Consider the following 24,179-nt stretch of genomic DNA (forward strand, 5'->3'; position numbering starts at 1 on the left):
TAGTCCCAAGTACTCAGGAGACTGAGACAGGACGATCTATCAAGCCCAGGAGTTCAAGGTTGTAGTGAGCTATTGTGCCACTGCACTCCAGCCTAGGCGACAGAGTAAGACCTTGTCTCAAAACAAAAACAAAAAAACTCAGCCATTTGGTAACTATGGTTGGGCTTAGGGCTTGAAAATTCCATGGTTCTGACCCTCCGGCCATTCATTCTGATGAGCTCTGGGCAGTATCCAAGGCCCCGGCTGAGCAGATGGTGAGCGCTGCCCTCAGAGTGTCCTCTGCACTCCCTCCTGTATTGTCTCCTATATTGTGCTATGCATGAGTGGTGCCTCAGTCAACTAAAAGAGTTACTTCGCCATCGGAGACCTATGTATTGATTACCTGCCCTGCCTCTGGGACAGCCTTTTAAAGTTAAAATGGCCCTGGGGACCCGGGTAGTGCCTCCGTCACCCCCAGTGGTGTGACTTCTAGAACTCTCCTACTTTGCCTGAGCAAAACCTCCCACAGTCTGCCCAGACCAGAGCGTGTCTAAATGATGTGGGTTTTGTTGCAGCAAAAATTGGATGCAGAGTTTCAGAAAAGACTGGAAAAGAATAAAATTGCTGCAGAGGAGCAGACCGCAAAGCGCCGGAAGAAGCGGTAAGCGGCATGGCCTAACTGTGATGACACTTAAGGGCCAGGGGTGGTGGCTGGGTGAGCTGTCCTTGCAGTCAGTAGTAGTTCCTCTGCATGACCTGTAGGGGTCATGAATGTAGAGCAATGACTTCTACTACCTGAGCAGAGAGCAAGTTCCTTATGACCCTCCAACTGGTTACAGATTGTCCAGAGCTTGCAAGTCAGGACTTCAGTGATCACATTGATTTCTGTGTCTCCTTCAGGTCTGTATTTTTTTTTTTTTTTGAGACAAAGTCTCACTGTGTCCCCCAGGCTGCAGTGCAGTGGCACAATCTCGGCTCACTGCAACCTCCGCCTCCTGGGTTCAAGCAATTCTCCTGCCTCAGCCTCCTGAGTAGCTGGGATTACAGGTGCCTGCCACCATACCCAGCTAATTTTTATATTTTTAGTAGAGACGAGGTTTCACCATGTTGGTCAGGCTAGTCTTGAACTCCTCACCTCAGGTGATCCGCCTGCTTCGGCCTCCCAAAGTGCTGGGATTACAGGCATGAGCCACCACACACGGCCGCATCTGTATTTTAACAAGGTGCTGCAACCAAACTTCCCATTTAGCATGTTTCTTAAATTACGGTTTATGACTCCCTCAAGTGACTACATGGTATATAGGCTGTATGTTTATATGTGTATCTGTGTGTTTACATAAGTGGTCTCTCAACTTTTACAATGAGAGCTGAGGAGGATTCTAACAACAGCCCCTAAATATCTTGAAATGAAAAAGCATCTTTAGGGACCAGGCATGGTGGCTCACAGTTGTAATCTCAGCACTTTGGGAAGCCAAGGCAGGAGGATCGCTTGAGCCCAGGGGGCTGAGGCTGCAGTGAGTTATGATCGCACCACTACACTCCAGCCTGGGTGACAAAGTGCAACCCTGTCTCTACAATAATAATAAAAAAAATTTTTTTTTAAAAAGCACCCCTGTTATTTCTGAGGTTGCTTTGCCTCAGGGCTCCCTGGGATTTGCTCTTGAATCCTAATGAAAGCAGCTGATAAGGACGGACTGGCAGAGTCATGCAAAAGTTTTGGTTGGTGCAAAAGTAACTGCAGTTTTGGACCGTGAATTTTAGATCATTGTAACTAGGCTCAAACCATGTTTATTGATCAGAATAGGAACCATTACAATCAACACATTTTCACCAATGAGAAATAAGTTTATTTCTATAACGTAAAAATCCATGCTCCGGGATTTGAAGAAGTCTTGGAAAGCATTTTCTGCATCCCGCTGGTTGTGGAAGTGCTTTCCCTGCAAAAAGTTGTCAAAGTGCTTGAAGAAGTGGTAGTCGGTTGGCAAGAAGTCAGGTGAATATGGTGGATGAGGCAACACATCGCAGCCCAATTTGTTCAACCTTTGAAGCATTGGTTGTGTGACTCGTGGTCGGGCATTGTCCTGGGGAAGAATTGGGCCCCTTCTGTTGATCAGTGCTGGCTGCAGGCATTGGAGTTTTCAGTGCATCTCATCGATTTGCTGCACATACTTCTCCAGTGTGCTGGTTTCACCGGGATTCAGAAAGCTGTAGTGGATCAGTCCAGCAGCTGACCAGCAAACAGTGACCATGACCTTTTTTGGTGCGAGTTTGGCTTTGGGAAGTGCTTTGGAGCGGCTTCTTGGTCTAACCACTGAGCTGGTTGTCGCAGGTGTCATGTAAAATCCACTTTTCATCACATGTCACAATCTGATCGAGAAATGGTTCATTGTTGTTGCGTAGAGTAAGAGAAGACGGCACTTCAAAATAATGATTTTTTTGATTTTCGCTCAGCTCATGAGGCACCCACTTACCGAGCTTTCTCACCTTTCCAGTTTGCTTCAAATGCTGAATGACTGTAGAATGGTCGATTCTGAGTTCTTTGGCCCCTTCTCATGTAGTTGTAAGAGGATCAGCTTCCATGATTGCTCTCAATTTGTCATTGTCCAATGACTGATGGCTGGCCACGATGCTCATCTTCAAGGCTCTTGTCTCCTTTGCAAAACTTCTTGCCCCACCACTGCACTGTACATTCATTGGCAGTTCCTGGGCCAAATGCGTTGTTGATGTTGTGAGTTGTCTCCACTGCTTTACGACCCATTTTGAATTTGAATAAGAAAATCACTTGAATTGGCTTTTTGTCTAGCATCGTTTTCATAGTCTAAACATAAACAAGTAATAAGTCATTAGCAAAAAAAAAAAAAAGCCGATTAAAATGATGTATAACATAATCACATCTATTTAAGAATATATAGGCCGGGCGTGGTGGCTCACACCCGTAATCCCAGCACTTTGGGAGGCCAAGGCAGGTGGATCACGAGGTAGGAGATCGAGACCATCCTGGCTAACACAGAGAAACCCCATGTCTATTGAAAATACAAAAAATTAGCTGGGCGTGGTGGCGGGTGCCTGTAGTCCCAGGCTACTCAGGAGGCCGAGGCAGGAGAATGGTGTGAACCCAGGAGGCAGAGCTTGCAGTGAGCTGAGATTGCGCCACTGCACTCCAGCCTGGGTGACAGAGTGAGAGAATCCGTCTCAAAAAAAAAAAAAAGAAGATATTCCAGTATCAAACAGCAAATTCCAGCAATGCAAAAACGGCAATTACTTTTGCACTCACCTAATATTTTTCTTATTTTGTTATTGTAATGTTTGTGTTATTCCGCAGGTTTTAGAGATACCATAAGGAGGTGTTTATTTTCTAAAATATACCATAATGTAGTTAAGGAATCAATGTATATGGTTTTACATTTTTAGCCAGAAGTTAAAAGAGAAGAAATTACTGGCAAAGAAGATGAAACTTGAACAGAAGAAACAAGAAGGTGAGTGGTGCCCACTTTTCTTGGCTGTAGCTTCTTTCTTCTTGTTGGTCACAGTGGCTGAACTGTCAGGAAACACAGGGACGGAGAGTTTGGGCTGGTTGGCTGGCCACTGAAGAAATAACAGCTTATTCATATTAGCTAGGACCCATTGAATTGCAAGTATCAGAAAACCAAACTGGCTTAAGCAAAAAGATACTGGTTCAAGTTAGGTTGAGGACAGACCTCCCTTCTGGCATGGCTGGTCAGGGAGATCAGTGACATTATTGGTTATTGACATCTCCCCCTCTGTCCTGATGTCCTGTCCTCAGGCTCACACTCATGGTTTTGAGGTGCCTGCAGCAGCTCTCGGGGCTACATCCCTCCTCGATCTTGTCCAGGAGGGAAAATTGAGAGGATGTCTCAGCTTTCCTAGCAAAAGTCTTTTTGTGTCTCTCTGGCTCTGATTGAGTCACTTGCCAGGTCAGGTAAGAATGCTTTTGGCTACAAGCAACAAAATGCAGCAACAAAGTGCCTAAACCACGAGGAGTTGGTTGTTTTTACAGGATGAGAAATCTGGTAGTAGGTGGCAGCGTGATGTGGCTCAGCAGTGTAGGCTGGCTCCCCCGCACGTTCCCTGGCCTTTACCCTGAGAGTATGAGGTGGCTCCCATGGCTTCTGGCACCGTACCTGTGTTCAAAGCAAGAAGAAGGGGAGTGAGGTGGTACTTATGTGGTCTGCCTTTTTTAAATTGGAGAGCAAAAGTTTCTCCAGAAGTGCCCAGAAGACATCACCTTAGATACTAGGTCTCTTTGCCATCACTAGCTGCCGTCAGGCTAGAGGAATAGAAAACAGAACTGTTGTAACCAACTCAAACCTATCGTGATCCAGCACTGCGAGCTGAGTACATTGCCACCCTAGCCAGATCCAGGTCCCATTAATAAGGAAGAGTAGGAGGCAGGGTTGGCTGTTAGGTCAGCATCCCACCGTGCTGCCAATCCTGCCGCCTCTGAACTCATCACAATGCTAGTGGTGCTATCCCCCATCCCTGGGAACTCATGGGCTGTGAATAAGGGTGGGGGGCCCCAGCTGGAAAGGGCCAAGGATGCTAAGAGACCAAAAAATGACACTGTCCCCCACATGACTGCATCTATGGCTATTCCATGCTTGACTGGATCTGCTTCCTGAGTGCATGATTGTGGTTTTTGGTTTTAGGGTGAAGTCAGACTTTCATTGACGTATTAAAATAGAATTGGGCTGGGCATGGTGGCCCGTGCCTATAATCGCAGCTACTTGAGAGGCTGAGGCAGGAGAATCACTTGAGCCCAGGAGGCTGAGGTTGCAGTGAGCCGAGATCACGCCATTGCACTCCAGCCTGGGCAACAAAAGCAAAACTCCATCTCAAAAAAATAAAACAGGCCAGGCGTGGTGGCTCATGCCTGTAATCCCAGCACTTTGGGAAGCCAAGGCGAGTGGATCACCTGAGGTCAAGAGTTCGAGACCAGCCTGGCCAACGTGGTGAAACCCCATCTCTACTAAAAATACAAAAATTAGCTAGGCGTGATGGCAGGCACCTGTAATCCCAGCTATTCGGGAGGCTGAGGCAGGAGAATTGCTTGAACCTGGGAGGCAGAGGTTGCAGTGAGCTGAGATTGTGCCATTGCACTTCAGCCTGGGTGACAGGAGCGAAACTCCGTCTCAAAAATAAATAAAATAAAATATGATTGGCCACTTCTAGGAACCACTTCCTTATGAGTTGTAAATGTACTGTGTGACACATCGGATATGGTTTTAGGTTGTTTCTCACCCTTTCCTAGAAGAAATTATTTTAAATTGCTAAAATGTGACTGATAGGACCTCATCTCTCAAATAAAGTACCTCAACACTTTCCCCTCCACCGCAACAGTAGATCATGGAAGTACTTGGCCCAAGTAGGAGGATTGGGCATAAAAGCTATTCTCACAATCTGTTAAGGGGTTATTGTAGCTTGGACCTATTATATTTGGAAATTTGAGACCAGCCTGGGCAGCATAGTAAGACCCCATCTCTACAAACAGTAAAAAATCAGCCAGGCATGGTGGTGCACACCTGTAGTCCCAGCTTTTTGGGAGGCTGGGGCAGGAGGATTGCTTGAACCCAGGAGTTCAAGACTAGTCTGGGCAACATAGTGAGACCCCATCTCTACAAAAAGTTTTAAAAATTGGTCAGGTGTGGTGGTGCACGCCTGTCGTCCTATCTAGTCTGGAGGCTGAGGCAGGAGAGTCGCCTGAGCCCAGGAGGTCAAGGCTGCAGTGAGCCATGATTGTGCCACTGCACTGCAGCCTGGGTGACAGAGCAAGATTCTGTCTCAAAAAAATAATAATAATAATAATAGATCTCCTTTGCTGAGTAATTTGACCCTCCCTCCTCAGGGTTTGTTGGTTTTGCTGCTTATCATTGTCATTGTTGCTATTTGTGTGTTTAGTGACTTTCCTAACAAATTCTGTAAAACCTGTATTCTTTGTTGTGTTTGGACTCTGAAGTCTCTGCTCGGTCAGCTTAGTTGGTCAGTGGAAGATGAGAGATTTCCTTGAATGTCTTGAACCACCGCATCTCCCAGTCTTTGCCTAGGAGCTCTGTGTGTGTGTTGGAATGTGCCTCCAACCCCCTGGCAGGCAGTCTGCAATTTGCTGTAGCCTTTACTTCCTGCTTGCACAGAGCCTCCAGGGCAGCAGAGGCGAGCGGTCAGGGCCTTGGCTGTCTTTCTTGGGCATGTGCACTGCTCTGGTGGCCCTCTAGAGTCCCAGCTTTTCCTTTTAAGCTTTTTGGTCAGTTTCTTGTTTGTGTCAATCGTTACTGCTGTCTTGGTTGGTGGGATGTTAAACAGTTGTCACTGATGGTTTTTGACAAACGCCCAGGGGAAAATGCTGTTCACGTTGAGTGAGCTCAACTCAATACTGAGTCAGAGCAACTAAAGACAAGCCTTGCAGGTAGACGTTTCCAGGGAACTGCTAGACAGGTCAACTAGGGCCAGTACCCTGGGAGTGGAACTTCCAACAGCTCCCAACCCAGTCAGCCTCCTCCCATTTTTACAGCTACTGTGGCAGGGGGGCTCTTGGTTTTCAAGACTCCCTCAGATCTGGGGAGAGGGAGACGGGAAATTAAAACTCACAGAACTCACACTCTTAGTGAGGTTCAGGCATTTGAACAGCTCGAGGAGCATTTCCAGAGTTCTGAAAAAGTTGATTTTTAGGATTTTTGCCAGTGTTCTGTTACCTTTATGGAGGAGCAGATTTTTGGAGGCCCTTACTCTTCCATTCATCCCTTTAGATTTTAACTTTCAAACAGCACTGCATTTGAAGTATGTTTCCTGTACGTCAAATGTTTGGGTTATGTTTTTTAATTCATTCTGACAGTCTGTCTCTTTCTTGATATGTTTGGATTCAAGGCTACCATTTAATTTGTTTTTTGTTTTCATTTTTGTGTTTTTGAAGCAAGATCTCACTTTGCCACCCAGGCTGGAGTGCAGCAGTGCAATCACGGCTCGCGGCGGCCTTGAACTCCTGGTGGGCTCAAGCAATCCTCTTACCTCAGCCTCTTGAGTAGCTGGGCCTACAGGTGTGTACCACCATGCCTGGCTAATGTGTTATTTTTTTGTAGAGATGGGGTCTCACTATGTTGTCCAGGCTTGTCTTGAACTCCTGGGCTCAAGTGATCCTCCCACTTCAGCCTCCCAAGTAGCTGAGACCTCAGGCCTGTGCCACCACCCTCAGGTAATTTTTGTATTTTTTATAGAAACTAGGTTTCACTATGTTTTGAACTCTTAAGCTCAAGTGACCCTCCCGCCTTGGCCTCTCAAAGTGCTGGGATTTCAGGCGTGAGCCACCATGTGAAGCTGCCGTGGTTTTTCTCTGGCTGCTTGTTTTTTTTTTGTTTGTTTGTTTGTTTTTAAGTTGGAGTCTTGCTCTATCACCTAGGCCGGAGTACAGTGTGCAATCTTGGCTCACTGCAACCTCCACCTCCTGGGTTCAAGCAATTCTCCTGCCTCAGCCTCCCTAATAACTGAGATTACAGGTATGCACCACCATGCCCAGCTAATTTTTATATTTTTAGTAGGGATGGGGTTTCACTATATTGGCCAGGTTGATCTTGAACTCCTCACCTAAGGTGATCCGCCCACCTCAGCCTCCCAAAGTGCTGGGATTACAGGTGTGAACCACCACACCTGACCTTAGTTCTATTTTTAATTTTTGTGTAATCACCATACTTTTCCATAGTAACTGAACCATTTTAACGCCCACCAGTGCAAAAAGGCTATAATTTCTCCACATCCTCACCAACACTTATTTTCTGTTTTTTTTTTTGTTTGTTTGTTTTGTTTTTAGGTAACTATCCTAATGGGTGTGAAGTGGTATCTCACTATAGTATTGATTTGCATTTCCCTAATGATTTGTGATGTTGGGCATCTTTGTTGTTGTTGTTGTTTTGTTTGTTTGTTTGTTTGTTTTTGAGACGGTCTCGCTCTGTCGCCCAGGCTGGAGTGCAGTGGCGTGATCTCAGCTCGCTGTAACCCCTGCCTCCACCATGCCCGGCTGATTTTTGTGTTTTTAGTAGAGATGGTGTTTCACCATGTTGGCCAGACTAGTCTCGAACTCCACCCACCTCGGCCTCCCAAAGTGCTGGGATTACAGACATGAGCCACCACGCCCAGCCAGCACCTGAACATATTAAAAAATGGTTAATACCCCATGATTGTACATGCTTTGTACCAAATGGGAAGAATAGAGTGTTCTAAGGATAACCATCATAAAAGTGGTTTGGGCTTGGACTCTGGCTCACATCTGTAATCCTAACATTTTGGTAGGTCGAGGTGGGAGGATCTCTTGAGCCCAGAAGTTTGAGACCAGCCTGGTCAACAAAATGAGACCCCATCCCTACAAAATATTTAAAAATAAGCAAGGTGTGGTGGTGCACACCTGTAGTCCTGCCTTCTTGGAAAGCTGAGGTGGGAGGATGGCTTGAGCCCAGGTAGCCGAGGCGGCAGTGAGCTGTGATTGCACCACTGCACTCCAGCCTGGGTGACAGAGCAAGAGCCTGTCCCAAAAAAGAAGTGGTTTGTATGCCACTTATCTTGCCTTCTCAGTTTCCTTATTTTTCATTTTGTGAGAGTAAGCAAGCTTTTCCAGTTATCTGCTGGAAAGAAATGGGAGTAATGTGGTAATACCGAGTTGCGCCCCAAGGTGGCTTTGGTGCGCCGTGGGTCCTGGATGGACTCAGAGGCACAGATCACTCAAGCTATTTTGGCTCTTCTCCTAAAAAGCAGGAGGGGCAGCTGGCTGGGTGTTCTGTTGTTGGAGAGGACATCTCACCGCTTGTTTTCTGTGCTGATCCAGTAGCTCAGGGAAGACTCCCGGCAGTGTGGGACTTGTGTCTGAAATGACAGCATAGGATGACATTAAGCCAATGTGGATTATTCTGCAGCCTTGAACTCCCCAGATGATGTATTCCCACACCACTCTTACTTATCCTAACATAGGCCTGCCCATCAAAGAAATCCAGGGCGCCCTTAGGGGATTTGTTACTAGGTACATCTAGAGCAGAGCTTCTCCACAGTTGCACTACTGATGCCTCAGGCTGGAAAATGCTGTGTCCTGAGGGGCTGTGTCTTGGTCACTGCAGGGTGTCTCGTGGCATCCTAGTGTCTACCCTCCCGAGGCCAGGAGCACCCACCTTCCCCCAGTCATCAGCAATTGGATGTCTCCAGACACGACCAGATGCACCCCAGTGGGGGAGGAGGACGGAATTGTTCCTGTCTGAGAGCTCCTGATCTAGGGGCAGGTATCCAGTGTCCAGAAGGCACTCAGCATGTGTTTGGATCAAACTGTTTCTTTCAGAGCCAAAATCCTTCAACATAATATGTTGGAAAACTACCCACGTCCTTTGTGTCTTTGGAAAAAGAGATACTCTATGATCATTTTAGAAATTTTTAAAATATGCAGAAAAGAACAACATCAAAAATAAAAGTTGGCTGGGCACAGTGGCTCATGCCTGTACTCCCAACACTTTGGGAAGCTGAGGCTGGAGGATCATTTGAGGCCAGGAATTTGAGACCAGTGTGGGCAACATAGCAAGACCCTGTCTGTATTTTGTAAATAAATATAAGTTATCTGTAACCTGTACTAAAAATGACTTTAACACTTTAATATAATTTCTTTGATTTCAGTTTTTTAATATATAAGCCTTATTTCTATAAATGCCATATTTATAGATGTCCTGATTTTATCATGTAACATTGTATCACAAGTGTTTTCCCAAGTCTGTACTTACAAGGATTTTTTTCTAATCTATTCATTCATCTGTTAAAAACAAAGTGTGTGCTTCAGTTGCAGTCAGTGGCATTTTACCCAGTATGCCTGTAGCCTGTGAATAAAATCTCAGATTCCTGGATCTTAAAATAATATATAAACAGTAGTAGAAGAGTACTGGAAGGAGGGCCAGGTGCGGCGGCTCACACCTGTAATCATAGCACTTTGGGAGGGCGAGGCGGACAGATCACATGAGGTCAGGAGTTCAAGACCAGCCCAGCCAACATGGTGAAACCCTGTCTCTACTAAAATACAAAAATAAGCCGGGCATAATAGCGTGTACCTGTAATCCCAGCTACTCGGGAGGCTGAGACAGGAGAATCACTTGAACCCAGGAGACGGTGGTTGCAGTGAGCGAAGATGCGCCACTGCACTCCAGCCTGGGTGGCTGAGTGAGATTCTGTCTCAAAAAAAGAAAGAAAAAAAAAGAGTGGGGGAAGGAAATTATGGAGAAAGCTCAAATATCATTTCCTGAATTGATCACCTTTTTCTCTATTCATTTTCTCTTAGTCTCCATGTGCACATCATTTGTGTGTAGCTACAATTATAGGAAGTTTTCCATTTTGCTTATTTTATTTAACATTATACACGTACTGCTTAATGAAGCAATTCCTTCATAATTTTTTTAGTGACTGGTAATATCCAGCAGTTGACATGCCATAATACACCTAATCTTTCTCCTTTTATGAAACAGTAGATTGATTCCAGTACTTGTCTTCTGTGAATATCCTGTGTCTTTCTCCCTTCCCCCTTTCTGGGGTGATAGATTAAGATAAATTTCTAAACCAGGCATGGTGGCTTACACCTGTAATCTCAGCACTTTGGGAGGCCAAGGCAGGCGAATTCCTTGAGCCCAGGAGTTGGGAAACCAGCCTGACCAACATGGTAAAACCCTATCTCTACACAAAGTAAAAAAATTAGCCATGTGTGGTGGCACATGCCTGTAGTCCCAGCTACAAGGGAGGCTGAGGCAGGAGGATCACCTGACCTTGGGGAAGTGGAGGCTGCAGTGAGCTGTGATTATGCCACTGCACTCTAGCCTGGGTGACAGAGCGAGACCCTGTCTCAAAAAGGAAAAAAAAAATAATAATAAAGATAAATTTCTAACCATGGGAATTACTATATCACAGAGTATAAAAAGAACTCCTGGCTCTGGAAATATATTGCAGGTTACTTTCCGAAGAGATAGCCCCAGTTTTTACCATTGACAGTGTATGTAACAGGGTACACTCTCACCATATCCTCAACATTTTACTCTTCCTCCACATGGGTAAGAATGGGGCACATGAGAGCCACTCAAGGTCTTACTGGGGATTGAGTAAAAAGCCTTACAGAAATACAGTGCAGACCTGCAAGACTGTGGAGGCAGTCCCACTCTCTTGCCATTCCACCCCCCACGCACCCACCTGTGTACAGCCTCCAAAGCTCTGTTTTTTGAAATGGAGTCTTGCTCCATCACTCATGTTGGAGTGCAGTGGCGCCAGCTCAGCTCACTGCAACCTCCGCCTCCCAGGTTCAAGAGATTCTCCCACTTCAGCCTCCCAAGTAGCTGGGATTACAGGCGACTGCCACCACACCAGCTAATTTTTGTATTTTTAGTAGAGATGGGGTTTCGCCATGTTGGCCAGGCTGGTCTTGAACTCCTGATTTCAGGTGATTCACCCGCGTTGGCCTCCCAAAGCGCTGGGATTACAGGCGTGAGCCACCGCACCCAGCCCCAAAGCTATTTTATAAAATGTACATTGGATTGTCAGTCATTCTTCTGCCTTTACAACAATACCCAAGATCACGGAATGCTTCTTACGTACCCCTAGTTCTAAATGCTTTGCTTGTATTAACTAACAATCCTTACAGCAGCCCTGTGAGGTTAGTCAGTGGTGCTGTTATCCCCATTTTACTAATGACAGACCTTAGGCACCATGCGGTGATGGCACCCACAAAGCTGCAGAGGATGTGGGCAGCAGGCCAGGGTGTGATCCCAGGCACCCACACCCGCCCATGAGGCGATGCTGCGTGAAACCCTGTCAGCAGCCCCAGTGTTCCTGGCCCTCACGGTCTGGCCCCTTCCGGTCTCCACCATGCTGGTCTGTTCACTCCCTTCCACATGCCCCCAGCTCTCTGTCCCTCAGCCTCGCTGCATGTGCTTAGGCTGCCTGTACTCTGTTCACGCCGCCTGACTTCTCATCTGACTGGAGAAGCTCTCTTCACCTTCAGCTTCCTCTTACAATGCTTTCTGTTTGTGTAAAGCCTCTCCTCACCTTCCTCCGGCCCCCGGCCCTAGAAGTCGCCTTTCCTGCCAGCCTGCCCCATGGGGTTGTGTGTGCCCTTGGCTGCAGGCCCTGCCAGATCAGATAAGGTGCTTGTCCATTCAGCTATGTCAGTTCCATCTTTTTCAAAATAAGCCTCATTTTAGAATGACTTTAGATTCACAGAAAGATTGCAAAGATAGTACAGAGCGTTCTCATATATCCAGTCTCCCCATTGTTTAACTTCCTAAATTAACCTGGTACATTGGTCACAGTGTGTGAACCCACATCGATACACTTGTTAGCTGAAGTCCATACATTATTCCAGCTGCCTTAGTTTTTACCTGCTGCCCTTTTCTTGCTCCAGAATCCAATCCAGGGCACCGCGTCACATTGTGTTATTACGCATTCTTCGGCTCCTGTTGGCTGTGACAAGTTTCTCAGACTTTCTGTGGGTCCAGTACTCTATAAAATGGCCCTCAGTTGGGATTGGTCTGATTTTCTCATGATTTGACTGGGGTAGTTTGTTTTGGGGATGAGGACCACAGAGGGAAAGCACCCTTCTCACCACACATCAGGGCATTGTACTGCCAACGTGGCCATCAGGTTTTGTGGGGTGTTTTTTTTTTTTTGGAGACAGGGTCTCTCTCTGTTGCCCAGGCTGGAGTACAGTGGCACCATCTCACCTCACTGCAGCCTCGAACTTCTGGGCTCAGGTGATCCTCCTTCCTCAGCCTCCTGAGTAGCTGCAACTACAGATGCGCACCTCCACACCCTGCTAATTTTGGTGTTTTGTTTGTTTGTTTGTTGAGATGGAGTCTCGCTTTGTCGCCCAGGCTGGAGTGTGGTGGCGCGATCTTGGCTCACTGCAACCTCCGCCTCTTGGGTTCATGCCATTCTCCTGCCTCAGCCTCCTGAGTAGCTGGGACTACAGGCACCCACCACCACTCCCGGCTAATTTTTTGTATTTTTAGTAGAGACGGGGTTTCACTGTGTTAGCCAGGGTGGTCTCGATCTCCTGACCTCGTGATCCACCCGCCTCAGCCTCCCAAAGTCCTGGGATTACATGTGTGAGCCACCACACCTGGCTAATTTTGGTATTTTTTCTGGAGATGGGGTCTCATTATGTTGCCCAGGCTGGTGCCATCACTGTTGATGTTTACCTTGATCACATGGCTGAGGTAGTGTGGTCAGGTTTCTCCCCCATATGTTTACTCTCTTTTCCCCTTCCTGTACGTTACTCTGTAGAAGAAAGTCGTTGTGTGCAGCCCACACATAGGGAGTGTGGGGCTGTGTTCCTCCTCCCTGACAGTGGAGAATCTACATGCGTCATTGAAGTCATTCTGCATGCTAGGGTTATTTCTTCTTTCCATGTATTTATCATTATTTAATCATTTCCATCTATCAGTATGAGCTTGTGGGTATTCATTTTGTACTTGATAGTCCATTATTACTGTATTTGTTTTACTACTCATAGTATTCCCAGCTTTGGCCATTGGGAGCTCTTTCAGTTGGCTCCTGTGTTCCCTTGACAAAGTCCCATCATTGTGGGTACCTTTTTTTTTTTTTTTTTTTTTTGAGACAGGGTCTCTTACCTAGGCTGGAGTGCAGTGGCACCATCATAGCTCACTGCATCCTCAAACTCCGGGCTCAAACAATCCTCTCGCCTCAGCTTCCTGAGTAGCTGGGCCCACAGGCATGCACCACCATGCCCGGCTCAGTTTTAAAATTTTTTTGTAGAGACAAGGGTCTCGCTATATGGCCCAGGCTGGTCTCAAACTCCTGGGCTCAAGCAGTCCCCCTGCCTCAGCCTCCCAAAAGTGCTGGAATTACAGGCATGAACCACCACACTTGGCTTCCTTACTTCCTGGTACTATAGGATATTCCAGACTCGTGTCTTGTGTTTCCTGCCCTGGACCTGGGATCAGCCATTTGTCCAAGAAGTCCTGGCTGCTGCTTTCTTCTTCTTCTTCTTCTTCTTCTTCTTTTTTTTTTTTTTTAAGATAGAGTTTCACTCTTTGTTTGCCCAGGCTGGAGTGCAATGGTGCGATCTCGGCTCACTGCAACCTCCGCCTCCCGGGTTCAAGCAATTCTCCTGCCTCAGCCTCCTGAGTAGCTGGGATTATAGGCACGTGCCACCACACTCAGCTAATTTTTGTATTTTTAGTAGAGACAGGGTTTCACCATGTTGGCCAGGCTGGTCTCGAACTCCTAGCCTCAAACAGTCCACCTGCCTCGGCCTCCCAAAGTGCTGGGATTATAGGCGTGAGCCACCATGCCTGGTCCCTGGCTGCTTTTAGAGAAATGGTATTAAAATGGTATTAAAACCCAAGGTCTGGGGACTAGGCATGTTCTGTGCTACTGGATGGTTGCTTTTAGGCTCTCTCAGCTGACAGAGCCAGGAAATTTACCTGTGTACTCCACCAGTATATATGTACATATCTGTCAATACTAATACCCATAACCATCCCCATCCATATTACACTAACATGAGTTCATACTGATGTCTCCAAGTCTAGCCCAGTATGACATAGCTCATTCTAGCCTTCTCTCCTTGTTTCTCTGTCACCTCTCACTCCAATAGTGAGTATCTTTGCTACCACCATCCACTAGCCATTTGCTTAATTGCTCAATGCCAGCATACATGGATAATGGTTTCAGAATTGTTTACCGTTACCCTGGGGGAAGCACCATTATCAACTAGAGGACATTGCTATGTGCAGTCCCTTCAGCCTTACAGCTTACAGAGGCCACTCATTTCAAGAATTACTTAGATCAGCACTTTCTTTGTTTTTAATGTTTAAAAAAAAAATTTGAGACGATGTTACATTTTATCGCCCAAGCTGGTCTTGAACTCCTGGGCTCAAGCGATCCTCCGGCCTCAACCTCCCAAAGTGCTGGGATCACAGGCATGAGCCACCACACCTGGCTGATCAGCACTTTTCCCCACACTCCCTTCACAGAGGTCATTTCGTACATTTATGATACGTTTGGATTCATGTGTCACCTTCTGCGTTCCATCCTGGGACCCTGACTTCCTAAATGACTTTTAAAATTAGCATAATTCAGCCAGGCACAGTGGCTCACGCCTGTAATCCCAGCACTTTGGGAGGCTGAGGTGGGCAGATCACTTGCGGTCAGGCGTTCAAGACCAGCCTGGCCAACATGGTGAAACCCCATCTCTACTAAAAACACAGAAATTAGCCAGGCACTGTGGCGGGCACCTGTTATCCCAGCTACTCAGGAGGCTGAGGCAGGAAAATCACTTGAACCCTGGAGGTGGAGGTTGCTGTGAGCCAAGATCACACCACTGCAGTCCAGCCTGGGTGACAGAATGAGACTCCGTCTAAAAAAAAAATAGCATAATTAAGTTTTAATTATTTGTGCTGTAAGGTTCTGTGGATTTTGTCAAACGCATAGTACCATGTATCCACCACTGCCGTATCATACAGAATAATTCCACTGCCCTAAAACAATTCCGTGTTTCCCCTGTTCAGCCTCCTCCCAACCCCCAGCCCCTGGCAGCTGTTTACTGCCTCTGTGGTTCTGCCTTCTCCACACTGTCATAGAGTCGGAATTAAATCGTATACAGCCTTTCCAGATTGGCTTCTTTTGCTTACCAGAACGTGGCTTAATGCCCCATTCCTTTTGCCAAGTAGTTTTCCACCGTCAAGATAGACCACCGTTTACCCACTGAAGGACAGCCTGGTTGTATCCAAGTTTTGGTGATTATGGATAAAGCTTCAACAGACATTTGTGTGCTACTGTTTTTTTGTGTTTTTGTGTGTGTGTGTGTGTGTGTGTGTGTGTGTGTGTGTGTGTGTGTGTGTGTTTTTGAGATGGAGTCTCTCTGTCGCCCAGGCTGGAGTGCAGTGGCGCAATCTCAGGTCACTGCAACCTCCGCCCCCTGGGTTCACAGGTTTAAGCAATTCTCTTGTCTCAGCCTTCAGAGTAGCTAAGCCAGGCATCTGCCACCACGCCTGGCTAATTTTTGTATTTTTAGTGGAGATGGGTTTTCGCCGTGTTGGCCAGGCTGGTCTCGAACTCGTGACCTCAAGTGATCTGCCCGCCTTGGCCTCCCAAAGTGCTGGGATTACAGGCATGAGCCACCGTGCCTGGCCTTGTGTGCTAGTTTTTGTGTGCACATAAGTTTCACATCAACTGAGTACATCTGCAGGAACATGATTGCTGGGTTGTATGATAGGATTAATCTTGTTAACTTTGTAAGAAACTGCCAAACTGTCTTGCAAAGTGGCTATTCCATGCTGTACTCCCACCAGCAACGATAGTTTCTCTTACCTCACATCCTTCTCAGCACTTGGTATTGTCCGTTTTTTGAATTTGAGCCATCCTAATATATGTGTTGTGCTTTTTGTTTTGATTTGTGACAGTATCTTTTTAATTCTTGTATCACCAACATGAAGCATAGTAACTAACAGGAAATAGCCACTTGATGATTTCTTACTGTTATGTATTTGTTATGTTGAAGGAATGAACTGGGGTAATTTTGTCAAATTGCCAAATGACTTGTCTGTGCCCCCGGTTTCTGGGTTTCTCCTCCCTGAGAATGATACTCTTGGACCCTGACAGTGGGTCTTCCACACACATAAAATCCCTTGTGTTGACTATTAGTGAGATACAGGTTGAGCATCCCAAACCCAAAAATCCAAACTCGGAAATGCTGCAAGATTCAGAGCTTTTGAACACTGACATGACGCTCCAAGTAGGAATTCCACCCCTAACCTCATGCAAGAGGTCACAGTCGAAACGCAGATACACAACACGGATTATTCAGTGTCTCCCAGGGACAGAAGACCCTCCCAGCCTCCTTCAGCTGCAATACAACCTTTCCACATACACCCAGATTTTTCCCCTACACAGGCACACGCCTCTCCAGACCACACACACACCAGCAGCAGGTTCCCCACGATGCCCCACACGGTGCCCAGACCTCCATGCTTACTCACAGTTTCTTTGCTTGTTCTCTGCTTTGTTGTGTAAAGATAATGTTGAAAACATCAAAAAGGCCTGCAGATCCCCTGTGGGTAACAGTGATAAGAAAAAGAGGAAGCATTTGTGTTTTTCTGTAGCCCAGAGAGCCAAGAATGACTGCCACGCGTGACCTGAAGAAGCAGAAGGATAAAAGGTTGAAACACCAAAAGCCATGAACAGAAGTTGGTGAAAAATTGAAAAATGAGGCTGGGCACGGTGGCTCATGCCTGTAATCCCAGCACTTTGGGAGGCCAATGAGGGAGGATCACTTGAGCCCAGGAGTTCGAGACCAGCCTGGGCAACATGGTTGAGACCTCGTCTCTACAAAAAATACAAAAATTAGCCAGGTGTGGTGGCACACACCCATAGTCTCAGCTACTCAGGAGGCTACGGTGAGCCGTGATCACACCACTGCACTCCAGCCCAGGTGACAGAGCGGAAACCCTGTCTCAAAAAAAAAGGCCGGGTGTGGTGGTTCACGCCTGTAATCCCAGCACTTTGGGAGGCCAAGGTGGGCAGATCACCAGGTCAGGAGATCAAGACCATCCTAGCTAACACGGTGAAACCCCGTCTCTACTAAAATATAAAAAATTAGCCGGGTGTAGTGTCACACACCTGTAGTCCCAGCTACTTGGGAGGCTGAGGCAGGAGAATTGCTTGAACCCAGGAGGCAGAGGTCGCAGTGAGCCAAGATCGCGCCACTGCCCTCTAGCCTGGTGACAGTGTGAGACCCCGTCTCCAAAAAAAAAAAAAAGTGTCCAGTAACCCTTTAATCCAAACACAGCATAGTAGGTGGGGATTGAAAGCCTGTTGTTACCATTTAGCAGCCGATCCAGGTGTTCTCATGACACAGCTGTGCTGCTTAATTACTCTGAACATGCTATTTTCCACTGTATGAATGGCCCGTCATATTTATTACCGTTAAGCACTTATGTGTGAATAAGTGTAGGAAAAGGATTGCTTATCAGTAGCAAATTCAGAGTCAGAAATGATGGTGACGCCAAGCCACAGATCAGCCACATGGGTGAGAGATAGACGCCTTTGCTTTCTGATGGTTCATTGTACACAACTGTGTTTCATACACAAAATTATTATTATTATTATTATTATTATTATTATTATGATTATTATTATCAGAGACGGATTCTAGCTCTGTTGCCCAGGCTGGAGTACAGTGCTGTGATCTTGGCTCATTGCAACCCCTCCCTCCCGGGTTCAAGCGATTCTCCTGCTTCAGCCTCCCAATTAGCTGGATGACAGGCGTGAGCCACCATGCCTGGCTAATTTTTTTTTTTTCTGAGACAGAGTTTCACTCTTGCCCAGGCTAGAGTGAAGTGGCATGATCTCCGCTTGCTGCAACCTCCATCCACCTCCCACCCCCGGTTCAAGCAATTCTTCTGCCTCAGCCTCCCAAGTAGCTGGGATTACAGGTGCACCACCACGCCCAGCTAATTTTTGTATTTTTAGTAGAGACGGGGTTTCGCCATGTTGGCCAGGCTGGTTTTGAACTCCTGACCTCAGGTGATTCACCGGCCTCGGCTGTTGAAAGTGCTACGATTACAGGCGTGAGCCACCACGCCCAGCCTAATTTTTGTATTTTTATAGAGATGAGGTTTCACCATGTTGGCCAGGCTGGTCTCACACTCCTGACCTCGAGTGATCCACCTGCCTCGGTCTCCCAAAGTGCTGGGATTACAGGTGTGAGCCACTGTACTCAGCCACAAAATTATTTTTAAATGTTATATTTACCTTCAGGCTATGTGTGTGGGGTATATATGAAACATAAGTGAATTTCATGTTTAGACTTGGGTCACATCCCCAAGATATCTCATTGTGTAGATGCAGATATTCCAAAGTCTGGAAACATCCGAAACATCCGAAATCTGAAACACATTTGGTCCCGAGCATTTTGGATAAGGGATCTGCAGCCCATACTGCATTTTCAAAGGCTTTTCAGCCACGGGGAATGCTTCCAGTCCTCCTCTGTTGCTCCCTTCCACAAACATCCAGCTCAACGAGTATTGTATTCATCAGAAGCAGAATTAAAGATCAGACCCTATGCTCTTTTTTTTTTTTGAGACAGAGTCTGCCTCTGTCACCCAGGCTGGAGTGCAGTGGCGCTATCTCGGCTCACTGCAACCTTTGCCTCCTGGGTTCAAGTGATTCTCCTGCCTCAGCCTCCCAAGTGGCTGGGATTACAGGCGCCCGCCACCACGCCTGGCTAATTTTTGTATTTCTAGTAGAGATGAGGTTTCCCCCATGTTGGTCAGGCTGGTCTCAAACTCCTGACCTCGTGATCCATCCACCTCGGCCTCCCAGGGTGTTGGGATTACAGACATGAGCCACCGTGCCCGGCGCCTTATACGATTTCTGCAGACAACATAGGCAGAGGCTGAGAGAGTCAGAGAACACGTTTGAGCCTGGGTCCCTGTCTTAGTGAATAGGAGATCTCGAGCAGCAAGTTCCTCCACCTCTCTGGGTCTTTTATCTTCTTCATCTGTAAAATGGATATATAAGAGTGGTACTTACCTCATAGACTATTGTAAGAATTAAACAGGGTACTCTATGTACAGACTTAGCACAGTGCTTCCATGTAATAGTGTTGGACAAATATTAGCTATTAAAATATCCTCACCATTTAAACTTTAAAAAAAAAAAAATCTGTGCCCAGGCTGCCGTGCAGTAGCATGGCTCACTGCAGCCTTGAACTCCTGGGCCCAGAAGGTCCTCCTGCCTCAGCCTCATGAGTAGCGAGGACTATAGGCATGTGTCACCAGGCCATTTTTTATAGAAATGGAACTCGCTGTGTTGCCCAGGCTTGTCTTGAACTCCTGGGCTCAAGTGATCCATCCTCCTCAGCCTCCCAAAGTGCTGGGATTACAGGTGTGTGCCATTGCACCCGGCTTCCCCGTTTGAACTTTCAAAGCTAATCATGCTGTGTGGTATGAGGTTGAGGGGAAAAAGGGATGCCCCAAATTAATGAAACTAAATCTTCCAGATGCTTTCGCCAGCGCCGTGCGTGTTCTGTGTTCTTTCTGCGGTCCCATCCTGGGTATGACAGTGAATTTTAGGCTGGGCTGTGCCTTTGGCTGTGCAGGGCCTCCTGCTTAGAGGCCCTTTGTCTGACCTTTGGTGACACAGCAGTAGCAGCGCTCAGGGTCTGTAGTGGGCGTGTGGGTGGCCAGGGCAAGCCCTGCACATGTGCCTCAAGGAGCATTGGCTGGCCCGGGTGAGCCTACCCATTTGTGAGTTGCTGAGGCCACCGTGCCTGCGGCCGGCGTCCTGGCATGGCTGAGCCGGGCCATCTGCTGCCTTGTGGTCTCTGCCTCTGCCTTTCCAACTCTCACTTGTCCTCCTGCTCCCGCGTGAAGAGGGGGAGGGGAGGAGTTGGGAACACGTCCTCATGCTCGGCTTCTGGCTGGCAGTCATGATGGGGGACAGGGAACCTGTGCTGCTCACAGGTGTCAGGAGGGGCTTCCTGGGCCATGCTTGGGAGGAGCTGGGAAGCTGGCGTATGTGTGGGGGGCAGAGCCCTCTGCCACACAGGTTTCGGAAATCCTTTTGCAGACGGCAGTGAGAACTTGAGACTTCAGTGAGAGTGTTGTCAGCCTGGCGTTAGTGTTGAAGAGCTGGGTCGGGAAGTTGCCCACCCAAGAGGCAACTTGAGCCATGTAAAAGTAGTGCGTGGTTTATGGGGTGTCGGGTCTTGCGTGTGCCTCTGGGCCTTTGGGTAAAGATGGGGTGCACCCGTGAGAGCAGTGGTAGATCAGGTCTGTGAGCCACCCTTACTCCTGGGGAATGGCTCAGAGGACTGGTGGACGTGAGGCATGACCCTGGTTTCTTGCCATGCGGTCTAGGAACAGGGACTTTTGACTTCCCATCAGCTCTCCTCTTTGAAAGCACCCTTGACCCTGAACGATTTTGCATGTCTGTAATTTGAATGTCGTGTGGTTACAGGACCCGGTCAGCCCAAGGAGCAGGGGTCCAGCAGCTCTGCGGAGGCATCTGGAACAGAGGAGGAGGAGGAAGTGCCCAGTTTCACCATGGGGCGATGACAATGTTTGCCACAGCCTCTGCCTGGAACCTGGCTCGTGCTGTGACCAGAAGGGAAAGGCGGCTGTTTGGCTCTTTCTCCCCCGCAAGGACCCGCTGACCCGCTGGATGGAGAGCAAAGGAGACCCCTCCCGAGCCGCTCACAGTCCTGTATTTGGCAGGTTTGGGAGCCTGAGGGGCCATCTCCCTGACACTCAGAGGCACTGCCTTGCAGACACCATCCGTGCTCCTGGTAAAGGGGGACAGAGAGCCTCACCTTGCCACATATTTGAACAGTGATGAGTTTGGGGCTGGTTTCTGGGAAGGGAACGTTTATTTAGTAAAGAGCAGAACACCCTTGCGTTTTGTTGGGACATGTGGACCGTGAGTCGCAAACACTCTGGAGAAGGCTGAGATGCCACCATTCCCACGGGGACTGAAGACACATTACGTGGACCTGGTCCCAGGCTCAGTGAGGAGATGGCCTCAGCTGTGGGGCTGGTCCATGTTGCCCACTCACTCCAGTGGGAAGTGGGGACCACGCCATAGAGGGTCTGCTCCCACTGCAGCTCCCGGTGCTCTCGTGTTCTGGGAAGGCCTGGGTGTGTGCACAAGGAGGCCCGGGCCAGGGACTTCACCAGGGGCTGGGTCACAAGGGCACAGGGTGTGTGGAAAGCGCTGTGGGGGAAGAGCCGGTCACCGGAGAGTGAGCAGGCGGAGACTCCAAGCTGGGCTGAGCCAGAGCAGAAGGCGAGGGATTCCCAGCCGGACGGGGGTTCTCTCACCAACAGCTGTGATTTCATCCCGAAGTGGAAGGGGGTCTAAACAGAACAGGCTGAGAGAGGCGGGACTGGGTCAAGTGGGTGGAGCTCCTCCTTGCATGACTGCAACTGTCGGGGCTTTCCGCCGGCTCACAGCAGTTGGGGCCAGCGGGGAGAAGAGAGGCGGAACTGCTGTGTCCTCATGTGGCGCAGCCTCAAACTGGCATCCAGGCACTGGGCCCATGCAGAGAAGGCACCTGCAGAGAGCAGGGCAGCCCGGCGCAGGGGCATGCGCCTAGAATCCCAGCTACTCGGAAGGCCAAGGCAGGAGGACCGCTTGAGTCCAGGGATTCAAGGCCAACCTGGGCAATAGAGCGAGACCCTGTCTCTTAAAAAACGATGATGATGAACACAGAGGACGGGGCACTGTGCTGGGAGCCAGGGGGCCTGGGAGGAGCCGAGACCAGCCTTTTACCTCGGGGTTTTGAGGCCAACAGGGACGACAGAGACAGTTTCTAGTTAGAGCCTTGGCTCCATTTTTGGATGATTTAGCCCCGAGTTCCTGAGTCTATTTTATGCCCCTTACGTACTTTGATAGAACTAAGGAAATAGTGGTTTTGAGTGAAGGGAAAGGAAACCCAGAAACATTTTACGTTGCTTTTACTTCTGTAGTGTAGATTGCCCCGGCCCCTCTCTGAGCCCTGTAGCATCTGTGATAGCTTCTGTCCCTTCATCGGTTCATGTCACAGGGATTTTCTTTCCCAGGAAGCGGACACGGAGAGTCAGCCCTAATAAATGAGCACATGCCCTGGCTGTACATTTTGAAACCTGTTTTTCTCTGTCTGGGACTGGCTGGTTTGTGTTTCGGTTTTAGTTCTCCTATCTTTGGACTGTTGGTTTCCATCCCTCTCCCCACCCCCACATGTGTCACAGCCCCTGCCCTGAGTCTGCAACCTGGAGCTTGTGGGCCGCCTCAGTGCTGGGGAGGGTGCTGGGGCTTGGAGCCTGATGACCTGGCTTTGAATCCTGCCCCTGCCTCTGGTAAGCCAGGGGACTGTCAGCAAGTCCCTTCCTGCCTCTGCCAGCTCACTGGGCCAAGAGAGACAGTCGCCACAGGTGTGTGTTGGGTGGGTGGGCACATGGCGACACAGCAGGATGCCAGGTTGCGGTGGGCTTCACCCCCACGGGGTGCAGGAGATGATATTTAGGCAGGACATGTCCTGTAGCCATTTCTGGCCATTAGTACTAGGTCATCAGGACCTTAAGTTGAGAGATTCTTTCTTCAGGGCATCACTTATTTAGGAAAAGAAGAACAAACAGATGTCATCATTGAGAAAGGATTGGGTGATACTGAGAGCCCCTGCCCTCCCCCCGACAAAAAAAACCACCATTAGGGGAGAATCATGAAGTAATGTCCCTCATTGCTCATGGGTGGGAAGGAGTCTGGAACTGAACACAGAGGTGTAGGTAACAGAATCGTCTCAAACAAACTCACACACAAGAATTCTTATGGCCAGGCGTGGTGAGCTGACGCCTGTAATCCCAGCACTTTGGAAGGCCGAGGCAGGAGGATCGCTTGAGCCCAGGAGTTTGAGACCAGCCTTGGCAACACAGTGAGACCCCATCTCTACAAAAAATTTTAAAATTATCTGGGCGTGATGGTGCGCACCTATAGTCCCAGCTACTTGGGAAGCTGAGGTAGGAGGATCCCTTGAGCCGAGGAGTTGAAGGCTGCAGTGAGCCGTGATCACTCCACTGCACTCCAGCTTGGGTAACACAGTGAGACCCTGTCTCAAAAACAAATATATCTAGGTTCCCTGGTGATGCCCCTGTAATTCTGCATCATTTACGATTCATGCCCAAATAGACATTTAAACAGGTATTTTACTGTTTAAACAGGAGATTCTACTACAGAACCCGCCCCTTTAATTAGTTAACTTCGAGACAAGGGCTTGCTGTGTCCCCCCGGCTGCAGTGCAGTGGCGCCATCATTGCACACTGCAGCCTCCAACTCCTGGGCTCAAGCATTCCTCCCATCTCAGCCTCCCAAGTAGCTAGGACTACAGGCATTCACCACCATGCCAGCCTAATTTTTGTTTGTTTTTGAAACAAGGTCTGGCGCTTTTGCCCAGGCTGGGGTGCAGTGGCGTGATCTCGGCTCACTGCAACCTCCACCTCTCGGGCTCAAGCCATTCTTACACCTCATCCTCCCAAGTAGCTGGGACTACAGGTGCGTACCACCATGCCTGGCTAATTTTTGTATTTTTTGTGGAGACAGGGTTTTGCCATCTTGCACTGGTCTCCACCTCCTAAGTTCAAACAACCCTCCCACCTCAGCCTCCCAAAGTGCTGGGATTATAAGTGTACACCACC

General features: G+C 48.3%; 1 protein-coding gene, 2 long non-coding RNA genes and 1 other non-coding gene across 7 annotated transcripts in view, besides 7 other annotated features; 2 read left to right on the forward strand and 2 right to left on the reverse strand.

Moving 5' to 3' along the window:
• The window catches only part of PRKRIP1 (PRKR interacting protein 1), a 30,304-nt gene extending 7,681 nt beyond the window's left edge, over positions 1-22,623 (forward strand). The window contains exons 4-6 of the mRNA NM_024653.4: positions 555-640; positions 3,391-3,455; positions 20,971-22,623. Of these exons, the coding sequence (NP_078929.1) occupies positions 555-640; positions 3,391-3,455; positions 20,971-21,068 (249 nt within the window). The 3' untranslated portion in view covers positions 21,069-22,623. The remainder of the gene's footprint in view (positions 1-554; positions 641-3,390; positions 3,456-20,970) is intronic.
• The window catches only part of LOC100630923 (LOC100289561-PRKRIP1 readthrough), a 62,822-nt gene extending 40,183 nt beyond the window's left edge, over positions 1-22,639 (forward strand). Inside the window, 3 exon segments of the long non-coding RNA NR_038967.1 lie at positions 555-640; positions 3,391-3,455; positions 20,971-22,639. This is a non-coding gene — a long non-coding RNA (LOC100289561-PRKRIP1 readthrough).
• Positions 1,699-1,812, reverse strand: MIR548O (microRNA 548o). Its single transcript, NR_031669.1, has one exon. It is a non-coding gene; the product is annotated as a microRNA 548o (primary transcript).
• LOC105375433 (uncharacterized) lies at positions 1,735-17,067 on the reverse strand. 4 transcript variants are annotated; one of them, XR_007060459.1, is made up of 3 exons: positions 16,989-17,067; positions 8,635-8,841; positions 1,735-4,121 (listed from the first exon to the last, which is right to left on the reverse strand). It is a non-coding gene; the product is annotated as an uncharacterized LOC105375433 (long non-coding RNA). The 4 variants fall into 4 exon arrangements; XR_007060460.1 differs by lacking the exon at positions 16,989-17,067 and adding an exon at positions 12,366-12,631; XR_001744971.2 differs by having other exon boundaries at positions 3,289-4,121; positions 8,780-8,841.
• Positions 11,647-11,716: an enhancer, noted in NCBI's record as "active region_26429". NCBI's record gives its function as "activates an Ori minimal core promoter by ATAC-STARR-seq in GM12878 lymphoblastoid cells {active_cell/tissue: GM12878}" and the evidence as "EXISTENCE:reporter gene assay evidence [ECO:0000049][PMID:35858748]".
• Positions 11,837-12,006: an enhancer, noted in NCBI's record as "active region_26430". NCBI's record gives its function as "activates an Ori minimal core promoter by ATAC-STARR-seq in GM12878 lymphoblastoid cells {active_cell/tissue: GM12878}" and the evidence as "EXISTENCE:reporter gene assay evidence [ECO:0000049][PMID:35858748]".
• Positions 12,037-12,116: an enhancer, noted in NCBI's record as "active region_26431". NCBI's record gives its function as "activates an Ori minimal core promoter by ATAC-STARR-seq in GM12878 lymphoblastoid cells {active_cell/tissue: GM12878}" and the evidence as "EXISTENCE:reporter gene assay evidence [ECO:0000049][PMID:35858748]".
• Positions 16,779-17,309: an enhancer, noted in NCBI's record as "NANOG hESC enhancer chr7:102061269-102061799 (GRCh37/hg19 assembly coordinates)". NCBI's record gives its function as "activates a minimal SCP1, AML or CMV promoter by ChIP-STARR-seq in naive H9 embryonic stem cells {active_cell/tissue: H9 hESC(naive)}" and the evidence as "EXISTENCE:reporter gene assay evidence [ECO:0000049][PMID:30033119]".
• Positions 21,521-22,424: an enhancer, noted in NCBI's record as "H3K4me1 hESC enhancer chr7:102066011-102066914 (GRCh37/hg19 assembly coordinates)". NCBI's record gives its function as "activates a minimal SCP1, AML or CMV promoter by ChIP-STARR-seq in naive H9 embryonic stem cells {active_cell/tissue: H9 hESC(naive)}" and the evidence as "EXISTENCE:reporter gene assay evidence [ECO:0000049][PMID:30033119]".
• Positions 21,595-22,104: an enhancer, noted in NCBI's record as "active region_26432". NCBI's record gives its function as "activates an Ori minimal core promoter by ATAC-STARR-seq in GM12878 lymphoblastoid cells {active_cell/tissue: GM12878}" and the evidence as "EXISTENCE:reporter gene assay evidence [ECO:0000049][PMID:35858748]".
• Positions 22,585-22,874: an enhancer, noted in NCBI's record as "active region_26433". NCBI's record gives its function as "activates an Ori minimal core promoter by ATAC-STARR-seq in GM12878 lymphoblastoid cells {active_cell/tissue: GM12878}" and the evidence as "EXISTENCE:reporter gene assay evidence [ECO:0000049][PMID:35858748]".

The sequence above is a fragment of the Homo sapiens genome, chromosome 7 (assembly GCF_000001405.40).
Source record: "Homo sapiens chromosome 7, GRCh38.p14 Primary Assembly".
Lineage (NCBI taxonomy): Eukaryota > Metazoa > Chordata > Mammalia > Primates > Hominidae > Homo > Homo sapiens.